Consider the following 15,798-nt stretch of genomic DNA (forward strand, 5'->3'; position numbering starts at 1 on the left):
ACATTCTGTTTGTAAAGATGGAATTATTTAAGCACTATCACATCCTGGAATGTTTGGTTTCAATTCTAAGCATATATTACTGTAAGACCCAGGATGAAAAACCTCTTGAATTTAGCTAGAGATTTGATCCTCTTAAATGACATATGAAGCAGCTTTTATAAAGATAGGGAGCCTCAGCTAGTCTTACAGATTCATGAGGAAGCCTCTAAGGGGTTAAAGTAGAAAGCTTATACAAACTTTGCTTCTCAGCCTCTCTTATCTCCTCCCTCTCCACACCGCTGAGACAGAGCAGAGCTGAATCACTACCTTTCCCGCATACTCTAAACTGTTGCCTGCGAAAGAGGAACTGGGGACTTAGACTAATTCAGGCTGCTTTCATTCAAATGTTCCAGAGGGCACACACACATCCAAACAGACTTCTCTTTGCTTTTCAGAGCTTATAAGGAGCAGGCATCTGAAGCTGCACTCTGAAGCTGTAAGTGGTAACTGACATTTTAAGTAACATTTTAAGTAATAGAAGGTGTTTTTCTGTTTTTCTGCAAAGGGATTACTCTTTAGGAAGATGAAAGAGAAACCATACTTTGCATGAACATAGTCCTGCTTCTTTGGCAAAACAAGGCTTTCATTCTATGTTCCAGCTATTCCAGAGATGTTCCTGAACAAGTTACCTGTTGGTGAAAGCTTCAAAAGGGATACTTAAGTGACCAATCCTATTCATACTGTGGGCCAGGAGAGGTAAGAAATATTTGGAAATATTACGATGTTAATCCCGGTGAAGTGAGAGGCATTATTTTATTTATCGGCAGGTGTGACAAATAGGCACCATCTGCTGCAGAAGATACAGCAACTCCTACTTGAGCGAGCTTATTACTTAATGGCTCCAGCCACTGAAGAAGCATTTGCTGCTGGAATCGTTTTTTCACAGGGTGATGTGGAACTAGACACACTTCTCTCTCTCAGTTTTTTCTCCTCAGCTAGGAAGATAAATATAAATAGAATGTATTAACTCTTAAAAGCTGATATCAGTTGATAGTTTTGAATTTCTTTTCTGAATTGTTCCACTGAAGGTTTTCCTTAACTACTTGATGAGATTTCAGCTCTGGAATTATATAGGCAGGTGTCATGCAGAAAAATGTAAAATTACCAGTGGGTTGTTCCCAGAACCTTATCATGTTAAAGAAAATAAAAGTAACTACTAGGAGCACCCTGAGAACCAAACAGAGATCAGGGTACACTTATTTTATATCTCCAGCACCTAAAAAAGTGTCTGGAACTTGATTGGCACTCAATAAATGTTTGCCAAAGAAATGTTAATCTGATTTTGGAGGCCTGTGGAGAACTTGGTTGCTCTTGCTACAAATAAGTTTCACTCAAAGAATCCCTCTCGGGCTTGATTGATGCAGAAAGTTATTCCCTTATCATTCTGGGGAGCAAAATTCATGATCTAGGAGTGTATGTTATTTTGCTCCTATGAGGTTATATACACTATGCTGATGTCAAAAATTAGTGAGAACTTGACATTTCAATGTTTATACTAAAAACACAAGACTTTTTGTTACTAAGATTTTATTTACCAAATTAATGACAAAATATGCAATTAGAAAACCAAAGGTGCATATTCATGTCACTTGTGAGTATTTTGGTTTACATTAGAAGTGAAGTAAACCAGATGTACAAGTTAATATTGGACATTGACCAGTTATTAAACACTTTCTCTTTTCCCTTTCCCCCAAACTTCTCTTCCTCTTTTTTTGCTCCATTCTTTCTCAATATTACCTCCTTCCCTTCCTTCTCCCCCTCATAATCACTCATTTCCTGCCCCATCTTATCTCCATCCCACATCCCTCATAGTCTTTACTCATTTCTCACATTTCTTTCTTTTCCTCCTCTCTCCCTTCCCTCTTCCTCTATCTTCCTTTCTTTCTTTCCCTAATTCCTTACCCCCTTTTCCATTCCTCACTCTCCTCCTTTTCCCTCAACAGCTTTCAATCACTTTTACAAAGACTAGAAACTGATTTTTATTGCATGAGCTTTCCAGAAAGAACTGCAGGATACTAAAATAATTCTTTCCACAAAAAATCATATCCTTCAGAATTAATAGAATTTGAATTCCTTTTGAAATTGCATGGTTGTTTTTCTTTCCAAATGGTGCAGAGCTTTTAACAGAGCAATCATATTATCTGTGCAACTCATTAATTAGTTAGCAAAGAGAGCCATGACAATCCTGTTTGAAAAGCTTTTATGAGAAGTAGTCACAGATATAGGACCAGAGTAACAAAAAAGAGGATTTCCTAATATCTAACGTTGCATTTATTCATTTCAAAGTCCTTAATGGATTTAAGGAATTAAATTGATAAACCTCCCTAAATTGACCAGACTGTTTGGTCTCCCGAAGACTGTAGAGGCTTTAAGAAATATGTGATTAGCTAGTTTTCCAAACTTTCAAAGGAAATGTTTAAAGAAATTGACAAGGTTAGCTGAGATCATTGTTCTCTAAGCTTCTCCAAGCTTCATAGAATTCTAATAAATATTGAATAAGTATTCAGACCTAAGGAAGATTCAGAGTCAATTGTGTAGGAGGCAGAAAATGTAGTATCAATTGTTATTGAAAATTATCTGCAGACACAAGTGAACTTTCTAAAATTTAATTTAAAATCTAACCAATCCCATGTAGTTTTCCTTTAAAATCTTGTAACTGAAATAGCACTTCATGAAGAGAGTTTCTAACAAGGTGATAATTTCTTAATTCTAGATTATAATCTGGAATTTAGTCTCCAATAAGAAATTGAACAGTGGGGGAAGGGAATAAAAAGAAAAGAGAAAGTTATATTCTTCTCCAAGCTATATTAGCAATCGGATCAGAGATAAGACTGTGCCTCTCTTTGAACTGTAAATGTTAGGTACATTTCTTCATCATACCCATGCATTTATTCAATAATTCTTGAGCAGCTACTGCAAGCAAAGCTGTATCAGGGATAGACTGCTGAAAATGATCCTCAAGAATTTTGTAAGTTACAATTTAGAAGAAAACATATCAACTAGATACCTGCAATATTTGTCAAATTTAATTCCTCTAAGAGAAATACAAAGCATTGTGGAAATTAGGGTTAGGGTGGAAAGTCAAGATCAGCTTCATGAACTAAATCTTGAAGAATTGTAGTATTTCCTCACCCAGAGATGTGTGAAGATAGAAGGAACTGGTCAAACAAAAATGTGGAAGCAGGGAAGTAGGTAAGAGTGAGCATTACAGTTTTATTGGAAAGAGGGTAATGGAAGGAATTAAGGTAAGCCAGGGCCAAGGCATTGACAGCCTTAAATGTCAAGCTAAGGAGAATGGAGTAAAATCCAAAGGCAACATGTAGACTTCCAACATTTTATTTCTTTTTCCTTTTTCATTCCACTAGACTAGTTATAAATAAATTGTATAGTAATAAAATATAGAATAAAATAGCAAGTTGAAGATTACACAGTTTGGTATATTTTTTATAAAGTTCAAAACAAATAATACTAACATCGTTTAGGCATAGGGGTGTGTGTGTGTGTGTGTGTGTAAATAAAAGGAAGGTAATGAGTCACAAAATTCAGAATATTGGTTATTGGTTATTTCTGGAGAAGGATAGGTAAGAGGATGAGATGGGAGGAGCATAGGTAGATGTCGTGTAAATTATTAGTTATTCTCAATCTTAAAGTTGGTAGATGTTTGCCCACAGATGTTTGTCCATGGGTGTTCAATATATTATTAAATAAGTGAATAAAAAGAGCTCAAATTTACCAGTGATGACAATGTGCCATAAACCAAGGAGTATGACTTACCTGATTCTGTATACTTGGGGTCCAAAAGGGAGTATAAAGATACTAGAATAGTGTAGAGGTTTCTCCCACTTGACTTGCACTAGCAGTGAGTGTTTATTTTTCCTTACCCTTCTTTTCTGGAAGGCAGGTGAAAAAGTAACTTAGGAGATACATGGGTGAAAAATCCATTAAGCTCTTATCTCTAGGTTACTACCATTCTTAAGGAAAGGAGCTGCTGGGAGAAGTGGTGAGGAGGAAGGCCAGTGAGACTGACAACCTATATATGAAGCACTCTGAATACATAGTGAAGCAATTGAGCTGTGTGGGCTGTCTGGGACTGTTAGAGTCCTGATTTGAAGTGCTCTGTTCTATTTGTAGACTGGTGTTTCTCAGCCCTGGCTGCATATCAAAATCACCTGTGGAGCTTTTAAGCAATACAGATGTTCATGCCCCATACAGAGCTACTGAATCAGAAACCCTGAAGAAAAGACCCAGTTATATATATTTTCAAAAACATACTAAGTAATATTAAAGTAGAGCAAGGACTGAAAAACATTCCCTGAAGAGTGTGCTTAGAAACAAGTGGGTAACTTGTTTCAAACATTGATTCCAGGATACTGTCCCCAGAGATTCTAATCTAAGAAAAAAGGGAAAGGGTCTGGGAAAGGGTCCGTGTTTTTATTCATAATAAACACCCTGTAGGTGATTCTGATGAAGGCACTTCCCTTGACCACTCTGAGAAACACTGCCCCAAAGGTTCCAAAACACTAGGGTTTCAGGGTGATTAGTCCATATATTTGCTTCCTAAAACTGCCATAAAAAATTGTATAAGCTAGGTGACTTAAAACAACAGAAATTTATTCTTTCAGGCCTGGAGTATAGAAGTCTGGAATCATGGCATCAGTAGGGCCGTGCACTCTCTGAAATCTGTAGGGTAGACTCCTTCCTTGCCACTTCGAGCCTCTGGTATTTGCTGGCAATCCTCAGCATTCCTTGGCTGGTAGATGCACCACTCTAATCTCTGCCTCTGTCTTCTGCTTGTATGCCTCTGTCTTCTCCTCTTCTTGTGAGAACACCAGTCATTATATTAGGGCCAACCTAATATATTGACTTGATTCCATCTACAAGGTCTTATTTCCAAATAAGGTTACATTCACAGTTACTGGAGTTTAGGACTTCACCATTTTTGGGGGGTGACACTATTCACCCATAACACTGTTTTAAATGCTTTTAAAAGTACAGCCTCCAAACAACCAATAAGATAGATTAGCTGTATTCTTTAGCTGGGCTATCTAGAGAGAAAAAACAATAATTAACTCTCAAAGCTCAGTATACAAAGAAATACTTGAAAGGCTTGTGTTTAGTATGCGTATTCCTGGGCCTTGATCCCAGCTAATCAAATATCAAAATAGCTGCACTTGTAAGGATAGAAAAATGTTTCCTAGACCATTGCTCCAAATATAGTGGAAAGATATTATATATCTCTCTCTCTCTCTCTGCTCTTGTTTCTTATGAACCAAGTTATTCTGTATGGGCAATAGGAACAGTAAGCAGGTAGACTAAGAAAAATATGGATTATGGAAAGTATAGTAACGTGGGCTAGGGAATACAAACTTTAAGCTGAAGTGTTCCCAAGCTGGGGGCAAAATTCAATATGATAGGAAAAATAATGTGACCGTTGGAGCTATTTCTATGAACTCTCCTTGGGTATGTTAACAACAGACAGAACTAGGCTACATTGTTAGCAATCTACTATTGCACATAGAAGTGTGACAGGTGATGGTTGTTTATATTGTTTATTTTAGCCACCCATATTCAAAATTCATGTTTAGAATGGCAAGTTAAATCATTTTGGAAGACTTCAGCAGTGAATAGTTGACCCTATTTACACAGTGGAATGTTTTTGCCAATAAAAAGAAGGTTCTAGCTTTACCAACGATAAAGCATGCAGTGCATTTATTTGCTCAGAATAGGCATACCCTCTCAATTCCTTCTGGTCTATAACTATTGGGGGGAAATGTCTATTTCCACTCTACAGATCTAAATGAGAGAGATAGAACAAAAAAAGAAAATTGGAGGAAGCCTGCATTCCTGAATGTTCCCCTGATTCATTAAAGTAACAATTGTCACTGGGATCTGGAGATTGAAAAACAATTCCTTAAACTTAGGATTCCTTTGTTTCAGTGCTAGGCTTTCTGGTTCAACTAGATCAGTGGTTCTTAGTCCTGGCTGCGCTTTGAAGTTACTTGGAAAAGACTTTATTGCTTTTCTTCTATCTCTCTTATTTAGATATGTGGGGTAAAAATAGACATTTTTCCCCAGTGTTTTTAGACCAGAAGGAATTGAGAGGGTGTGCCTATTCTGAGCAAATAAATGCATCCTTCATCATTGGTATAGATAGAACCTTCTTTTTGTGGGCAAAAGCATTCCACCATGTAAATAGGGTCAACTATTTACTGCTGAAGTCTTCCAAAATGATTTAACTTGGCATTCTAAACATGAACTTTGAATATGGGTGGCTATTTTTTTTTTTAATAGCAGTGCTTGGGTCCCATCCCAGACCAATAAAGTCTGAATCTCTAGAGTGGTGCCCAGGCCCCTACTGTGGAGATTATGATTCAGGAAGTCTAGGTTTGGGCCCAGGATCTGTATATTAATAAGTACCCCCAAGTAAATCTTATGATCAGTTGGTTTAGAAAACGTTGTTCTAATATAGGTTAGTCATTAGCTGCTGTTTACTGATGTGATTTTTTTCTTTAACCTTTTAAAAGCTATTTTCTACAGAGAAGAAAAAGCATTCTAAAATTAGTTTGCATATAGCAAACCATTTTGCAATTTATCAATTTATTTTTATTTCAAAATACATTGCCATTTGTTTTTCTTAGAGATAACTGAATCTTTTATTTTTGTTTTTGATTTTCAGGAAAATCAATATCTGTTGGAGAATCTGAAGAGCCAAATCTCCTGAGCCTAGGCCTACTGCTGTCAGCATCTCTGAGACCTCTCTCACCTGAGAATTACCAGGTCTGACAACACTTTCCCTCCAGCCTACAGTGAGGGATGTCAACAAAGCTACAGAAAACTCACATTCTGTAGACTTACAAGCTGTGCAGCTGGGCAGGAACCTTACAATCTCCATCCTTAGGGAAGGTTCAGAAATACAGATAAACGGGGTGAAAACTCAGATAAGCTGAGCCTGATATATACAAAAGCCTTCAGATAGTCTCCTCGCAGAAGAGCCCAATTAAGTCCACATAATTAGTCCACACATCTAGATTAGGTATAGGCAAAACGAGCCTTTTCTCCATCTACGAAAACAGAGCAAAACACTGATATAATACTCTAAAAGATTCTTGTTCTAATAACAGTATTATAAAGCAGTTTCACCCATATTTATTTTAATCAGTATAAAAGTAGGAGTGTGGAAAATAAAACATTACTTGTATTTTTAAAAATTGATTAAGAAGCTCTGATAAAACCTATTGGAGGGGCGATTGCTGTGCTGAAGGATAGAGAGGGTGTTGCAATTGTCAAATAGCATCACCATTTTCTGCTTGTGTGCTATTGCCTTAGCTCTGAGAGTGATTGGTTTTTACCAGATTGTTAGAACACGTCCAATAGATTTAGAGACAGTCTAAGTGACTGTGAAATGCCTCAAGGGCAGTAGAAATCAAATAGAAACACATACTAACTCAAGTCTTGAGTGATGATGGAGGCGCATTTTAAATACCATGGAAATCTCACTGGGCGTGCCCATTTTCCCACTCTGGCAACAGAGGTTGATACCTCTTCAGACAAGTATTCCAACCTGTACATGTATGTGGGCTTATTCCTGAGCCTCCTGGCCATTCTCCTCATCCTGCTCTTCACAATGCTCCTTCGGCTCAAACATGTCATCTCGCCCATCAACTCTGACAGCACAGAAAGTGTTCCTCAGTTCACAGATGTAGAGATGCAGAGTCGAATCCCCACTCCCTAAAGCCAGGATGAAGGTGAGCTTTAGTGGATCTGGGTAAACCCTTATATATGGATGTCCAGGAGAGCTTGCTTTCTTGCATGAAGCTTCCCATGTAGGGAATCCACAAGTTGTTCATTTAACAGCAAGCTGTTCATGTTTTCTTTGTGTTATTCTTCATCTTTACTCTGCTTGTGGGCTATCTAAAACGTTTAAGACTCACTCTGAAAGGAATATAGGAAAAGACAGCTGGTTGGGAGGGCTGGTTTCCATAGTAACCAAACAGTGCCTGGGCCTTGCACAAACCTCAGACCACAGAAATTCATGCGCAGTGGTTGTAAGAAGCACAGGGTCCCTGGAAGCTCCAAAAACAAACAAAGAAGATTTGCTTTTGAAAGGGCTGATCCTTCAAAGAGGATATCCCAAGAAAAGGACAAGTTCTAATTTAGTGTTTTGATCCTAGAGAATCACCTCTATACAAAGTTAAATTATGTCAGAAGTTAATGGAAGAGAAGCCCTTTCCCTAAACAGCAGTGATTTGATCATCTTAGGCAATCCGGTTTGTTTCAAATGAAAGAAGAGATTTAAAGAAACTGTTTCAGTTTAGAGAGCAAGTTTTCAGAAAGAAGTTTCTAGTAAACAAACTCATCTAGAGAGAGAAAAATGTGCATATTATATCCATATTAATTCTATTCATGCAGCTTCTTTGTCTTTTTCTCTCTCCCTCTCACACTCTAGGATAGAGTTGCACACAAATATGAGCTTTGTTTAAAAGGTGCCTTTGCAAACAAGACTCAACTGTACTTTAGAGCAGAAATAAAATGATGTTGGTATTCTGTTGTTGAATATGGCTTTGGACAAAACATTCAAGCCTTCTGAGTCCCAGGGTTTTTGTGCTGAAAAATGATTAGAGAGCTATTTAGTCATCACTATACTCTTTAGATCTGAGCATAAAAAAAAGAGAGAGAGACAAAGGAGGAAAGGACTAAACAACATCCTCCAACAAATCCTTATTGAGATCAATGTCCTCAAATGTCACATTTGTATTTCCCAGAAAATGTTCCTCCCTTCCTGATCCCTGCCAAAAGATGAAGTGTTTCACTTATTACCTATAAGAGAATTATATTTTGAAAAATTCCATTCTCATAAGTAGCCCTAGTATGCCAGTAGTGTGGAGAGAATTTAATTTTTAAAACTAACTTTTCAAAGGGAAACCAAAGGAGATGAGTACCATTTACAAATCAGAATTTAAAAAACTGGTCATATTCTTGCCACCAAAGGACGAGTACACCTGTGTTAAATTTTACTTGCTAAAACAAAAAATAAGTTATCTTTTGTACCTAAAGGGGGGTCATCAAATTTCACAGAGTACTCTCTCAGGAACTGTAATGATGGTAAGAGAGAAATCAAATAGATGTTAGATTAATGCCACCTCCACCAGAAATGTAGCTCTTTGTAGTCTGTAACCAATTTAGATTGGCCCTTTTTCTCTGATCTAAATCTAGATTGGTAGTGAAATTCCCAAGTGCTTTCCACTTTTATACACAGTCATTTGTCAATGCTCCTCTCTCCAAGGGGCTGCAAGTGTGAAATCCCTACATGCAGAGCTAAACTTAGCAGTAAGACTGACTCTGCCACACCTGTTACAACTGTGCACTGTCAGAGATGGGAGCTGCACTCTGCATCATTCAAAACAAATTAGCAGATAGGCTAAGACTTGGATAGGGCATATATTTTTCAAAACTCAAAGTGACTCACATTATTACACCTTGATGGTCTAAGTTGTGTGTTTATTCAACACCCAGATTCAGTGGACCCTTTAAAATTTGAGCTTTGGCAGCCAAACATGGACTTCCTCAAGACTGGCAACACCCCCCCTCCAGAACTTCTTAAGAACACACATCTTCCCTCATTCCAGGCTCTCACTTTTGTGCCCACAGTATTTGAATGCACTTTACATTTGAGAAGTCAGTGGCTGGCTAAATGAAGGAACTGATTATACTTTCAACAGCAGTGAATAGCAAGATACAAAATACCTTGTTGCTGAATCTAATAGAGATACAGACTGAAAATCTATTCTCTGCCCATCTGACCTTCCCAACCCAAATTTCAGGAGAATAAAACTGCTTTTTAAGCACTGACTTGGATGAAGATTTCTAATTTATGATTAGGTTACTCACATGGAAAACTATCAACCTCTTTCATCACAACTACCCCATGGGGATCCAGCTCGTCACTGAGCATTAACCAAAGCACACAGCACAGATTACACCAAAATAGCAGCATAACACCCCCCACCCAATTTCCAGTGACAATATAAATGGAAATGCTTTTAAGCAGATGTGTCATTATAATGACTCACATGGTATTTAATCTTTAGGAAAATAAACTGAATGTTTTTATTGTAGCAAACTTACTGTAAAGAAAAGAATTTTTACATTATATTTATTCCCCAATGTATTAACATATATTACTGCTCAAAAAGGCAGCCAGAGTAACCAGACGGCACAATTTGAATTTATCCTTCTATTCGAAATGCTGACTTGGATTGCCTTCCCCCACCCCCACTCCCTCCAAAATTGCACATTAGCCAGTATATAAACAGGTAGGTTATTTATATATATGTGTACTCTGTTTTAAGATGAAAAGAACAATTCTTCACTTTTTATTAGCTGAACCATATGAAATTGCCATTTGATAGGCCAAAAAATGCTCAAATATCACCAACTTCATAAAATTCAACCTAATACAAAGACTCACCACATTAATTCTGTAAATAGTAAATTCTCCTAATATGTTTAAAAAGAATCCAATTTTTTAAAATATATTTTGCATATATTTCAGAATCATGGGTTGTACAAAATGAAGTATATTGTAAAAGGCTTATGTATTATGTATTATGTATTAAGTAGGAAATATTAAGGTTAATCAAGTAAAGATGAATTCATCCAGCCTAACCTTTCCATCCATGCCAAATCTGAAGCTTTGGACTCATAACTGAGTTTGACTGCTGCAGATCCCACCATACTTACTAAGTAGGTATAAGGGATCCATTTTAATACATTTCAATGGTTATATTTAGTAATACATTTTATTCACTTGCATTTGTACAAAAGAACTTTTTTTTAACAAAATGAAGAATTGTGTGGAATAAAAAATTGAGTTTCTTTTGTTTGAAATTATTAATGTTTGAAATAGATTCATATTGTATAAAAATGGAAATATATTTGCATTAATATTTAGCATGTCATTTTTGATCCCTGGACAATAAATAATGACTGGTTTGATGATAACACGTATCTATTGTCTGAAGAATGTAAAGAGAATGACATTAGTCTCTTCATCCCGGTATAAATTGTAACGACTGCACATTTGTGGGACTTTTATAATTTTGAGGTCTCATTTTTTCTTATTCTCTGATTCTCTCTCCACTTGTCAAGTGATTGGTGCATTTGTTTGTTTAGTAGTAAATTGTCAAAAAAAAAGAATGACTTCCAGCTGTCAATAAGAGTGACCTGAGGGAAGATTGAGATAAGGTGTCTAAAGTGCCAATAGCCTTCCACATTCCTCTGCTGATAGGATTTTTTTTTTTTTTTTTTTTTTTTTTTTGAGACAGGGTCTCACTCCAATCACCCAGGCTGCAGTACAATGGCCCGATCATGGATCACTGCAGCCTCATCTTCCCAGGATCAGGCGATCCTCTCACCTTGGCCTCCCAAGTAGCTGGGACTACAGGCGCATGCTAATTTTTTTTTTTCTTTTTTTGGTATTTTTAGTAGAAATGAGGTTTTGCCATGTTGGCTAGGGTGGTCTCCAACTCCTGGGCTCAAGTGATCCACCTGCCTCGACTTCCCAAAGTGCTGGGATTACAGGTGTGAGCCACCAAGCCTGGCCAGATTTTTTTTTTAATGTAGCTTCCATTTTGTACTTTCTTCATTTGATCCTCACAGTAACCCTGTGAGTAGTGAGTGGAGATAATATGAAGTCTGCTTGACAAAAGAAAAAACAGGTACAGAGAGATTTGTGAGGCATTCGTGGTTACACAGAGGCAGAGTCAAGATTACACTGTAAGGCTTTGGACTCCTGTTTTAATACTCATTCCACCATGCTTTTCTTTCTGAGCACTGAAGAGATATTTCAGAGCTATTCATTCTATAACACTCCAAGTTCTGCAAACAACAATTGAGCTCTGTGGGTGATTAACTCCTTGATTCCAATAATTCAAAACAAATTAATACAATTCTGCCATCTCTTCAAATCGTTGTGTAGTGTGGCAAGACACATTCCCAGACTGAGGGAAAGTTTGCACAAAGGCAACCCCTGCAGCTTTGATTTACATAAATGAAGAGAATAGACAGTAATATGGATGAATTATTACCCACAATGCAAATCCCAATCATCTGATCATTGGATTTAATGTTCACAGTCAATGCAAGTTCTTCATATGTATGATTGCTATCTCTCCCCTTGCCTCCCAGAAATGAGAACACCTCCCAGAAATGAAAACACCTCATCTTAGGTAAAGATAATGTTGTTCTTTAAAATTATATGATGCCTTGAGTATACACAGCAATTCCATTTGCCCTCTAGAATAAATGCTATGACATTAAAAAAGGAAAGAATTACCAACTAAAAAAAAAAGCTTCCTGTAGCCACAAAGAATGAATTGTTGAAGGAGACAAAATATGGAACATATGTGAAGTAGAAAAAGAAAATACACATAATAAATATAAGTGAGGAGATTTTGAAGAATAACTTGAGCAATTCCCGGTATTCCAATTCATTCAAGTGTCTATTGATTAAATCAAACATATATGTGGAGGAGAATAAAAGAGACAGATTACACAACGTACTGGGCTAGGCTCTGCAGGAATCTAAAGTTTGCAATCAAAAAGTTTGCAATCTGGCAAAAATGACAAACAGAAATTCATCCATCCATCCATTCATTCATTCAGTAAACATTTATTTAGCACATAGTCTGTGTCCTGGTGAAGGTTATAGCCTACTAGGATGGATAACACCAACCACATAATTGCAAGAATACTGTGTTATAAAGAAGTATAAGGTGCTTGGGCACTTATAAAGTGGAAGGGATGCTTCCTAACCTGGCTTAGAGTGGCAGAGAAGACGTTACTATATATATATGTGTGTGTGTGTGTGTATATATATATGTGTGTGTGTGTGTATATATGTGTATATGTGTGTGTGTGTGTGTGTGTGTATATATATATATATATATATATATATATATATATATATATGCTAAAGTTTAGTGAATGAGTAAAAGGAGAGAGTAAGGCAAACATGCCATAGAGAGAATGACAGGAGTAAAGATTCTGAGATCAAATACACTTGACACACTTGAAGAAGCACAGTGAGTGAGGGAGAGAAGTCTTCAGAAGCCTGGAAAGGTTTACAGGAACCAGAACATGCAGGCCTTCGTGGGCAGTGCTATAGACTTTTTACTTTATTATAAGTGTAGAGAAGAGAACACTGGCAGCAATATAGAGGATGGATTGAAAAAAGGCAAAGGAGGTTGCAGGGAGGCCAGAAGAAACGCTATGGCAGTGATTCAGGCGAAAGAAGAAATGGATATCTTTGCGATAGATTTAGGAGATAAAATCAGCATTACTTGACCATGAATTGGCTAAGTGGGGTAATTAAGAAGAAAAAGTCTAGAATGATTTACAGATTTCTGGTTTGAACAAGGATCTGGTGACTCTATTCACTGAGATATAGAACAATGGAGGAAAATCAGATAAAGAGATGTATTCAATTTAGGACATTTTAGTTTGAAGTGCCTCTGAGACATCCAAGTGTAGATGTTAAGTAGGCAGTTGAAAATATGGATCTGGACCTCTGAAGAGAGGTTTGGGCTGGAGTCATAAATTTAGGAGCTGATAAAGGATGAGATTACCCAGGGGAGGGGTTATAAATAAAACTGAGGAAATGACAATAATGTATGTAAAATATACCCAAACATGCTCCTCCCCATTTTTGGAGCGTAGGCCACTTTTCAAGCAGATTGAAAAGAAGATTAGGTTTAAGGGTTCTCAAACTAAGGTACATTGCCCAGAGAAACTTGCAAGCAGGAGAAGTAAAAGAGTGTGTCAGAGTCAAAGTCCTTGGGAGAGAGGTAAGACTCCAAGCTGGGGAGACCAAATATAAACATTAAGTACAAAGATTAAGAGCAAGACCATAAATAAGAGGTAAATAAAGCCAATAATTAGAAGTCAGAAACCAATGGAGCAGTGTAGGTACACGTCAGAAGACAGCCCTGAGAGGTTGCAGTGAATAAGGGTGACGATGAATATTGATGCAAAAGTCCTCAACAAAATACTAGCGAACTAATTTCAACAATACATTAAAAAGATCACTCATCACGACCAAGTGAGATTTATTCCAGGGATGCACGGATGGTTCAATATACACAAACCAATGAATGTGATACATCATAATAATAGAATGAAAGCCAAAACCATATAATCATTTGAATTGATGCTTAAAAAGCATTTTATAAAATTCAACATCCCTTCATGATGAAACCCTCAAAAACTGGCTATAGAAGGAACATACCTCAACATGAAAAAAGCCATATATGACAGACCCACAGCTAGTATTATATTGAATGGGGAAAAACTGAAAGCCTTTCTTCTAAGCTTTGGAACACGACAAAAATGCCCACTTGCACCACTGTTACTGAACATAGTACTGAAAGTCCTAGCTAGAGCAATCAGACAAGAGAAAGAAATAAAGGGCATCCAAAATGGAAAGAAGGAAGTCGAATTATATCTGTTTGCAGACGATATGATCTTCTATTTGGAAAAACCTAAAGAGACCACCAAAATCTATTAGGATTTTTAAACAAATTCAGTAAAGTTGCAGGATACAAAATCAACATGCAAATATCAGTAGCATTTTTACATGCTAACAGTGAACAATCTGAAAAAGAAATCAAGAAAGTAATCTCACTTACAATAGCTACAAATAAAATTAATCACCTAAGAATTAACTAAAGAAGTGAAAGATCTTCTGCAATGAAAATTACAAAACACTGATGAAAGCAATTGAAGAGGACACACAAAAAAATGGAAAGATATTCCATGTTCATGGATTGGAACAATCAATACTGTTAAAATGTCCATACTAACCTCAGCAATCTATAGATTCAATACAATCCCTATCAAAATACCAATGACATGCTTCACAAAAATAGGAAAAAAAATCCTAAATTTTATATGGAACCACAAAAGACCCAGAGTAGCTAAAGCTATCCTGAGCAAAAAGAACAAAACTGGAGGAATCACATTACCTAACATCAAATTATACTATAGAGCTAGAGTAACTAAGACAGCATGGTACTGGCATAAAAACAGACACATAGACCAATGGAACAGAATAGAGAACCCAGAAACATATCCACACACCTACAGTGAACTCATTTTTAACAGAGGTGTCAAGAACATGTGTTAGAGAAAGAACAGTCTCTTCAATAGTGGTGCTGGGAAAACTGGATATCCATATGCAGAAGAATGAAACTAGATCCCATATCTTGCCATATACAAAAATAAAATAAAAATGAATTAAAGAATTAAATCTAAGACCTTGAATTATAAAAATGCTACAGGAAAACATTGGGGAAACTCTCCAGGACATCTGCCTGGGCAAAGATTTCCTGAGTAATACCCCACAAGTAGAGGCAACAAAGCAAAAGTGGAGGAAACGAGTCACATCAAGCTGAAACTTCTGCACAGCAAAGGAAATGATCAACAAAGCGAAGAGTGACAGAAAATATTTGCAAACTACCCATCTGATGAGGGATTAATAACCAGAATATATAAGAAGCTCCAGCAACTCTATAGGGAAAAGCCTAATAATCCAATTTAAAAATGGGCCAAAGATTTAAATACACAGTTCTCAAAAGAAAACACACAAATGACAAATAAGCATATGAAAAGGTGCTCAACATCATTGATAATCAGAGAAACGCATATCAAAAGTACAATGAGATATCATTTCATCCCAGTTAAAATGGCTTTCATCCAAAAGAC

At 36.8% G+C, this 15,798-nt stretch overlaps 1 protein-coding gene across 1 annotated transcript; it reads left to right on the forward strand.

Moving 5' to 3' along the window:
* The first annotated feature begins 285 nt into the window (after positions 1–285).
* On the forward strand, positions 286–11,040 carry SERTM2 (serine rich and transmembrane domain containing 2). Its single transcript, NM_001354473.2, has 3 exons — positions 286–475; positions 639–735; positions 6,716–11,040. The coding sequence occupies exon 3, from the start codon at positions 7,499–7,501 to the stop codon at positions 7,769–7,771; it is 273 nt and encodes a 90-aa protein (NP_001341402.1). The 5' UTR covers positions 286–475; positions 639–735; positions 6,716–7,498; the 3' UTR covers positions 7,772–11,040.
* The last annotated feature ends 4,758 nt before the right edge of the window (positions 11,041–15,798 follow it).

The sequence above is a fragment of the Homo sapiens genome, chromosome X (genome assembly GCF_000001405.40).
Source record: "Homo sapiens chromosome X, GRCh38.p14 Primary Assembly".
NCBI lineage: Eukaryota > Metazoa > Chordata > Mammalia > Primates > Hominidae > Homo > Homo sapiens.

What these genes read in the sequence shown, in the direction of transcription:
- SERTM2 (NM_001354473.2), top strand. Translation starts at nt 7,499, where the DNA reads ATGATGGAGGCGCATTTTAAATACCATGGAAATCTCACTGGGCGTGCC.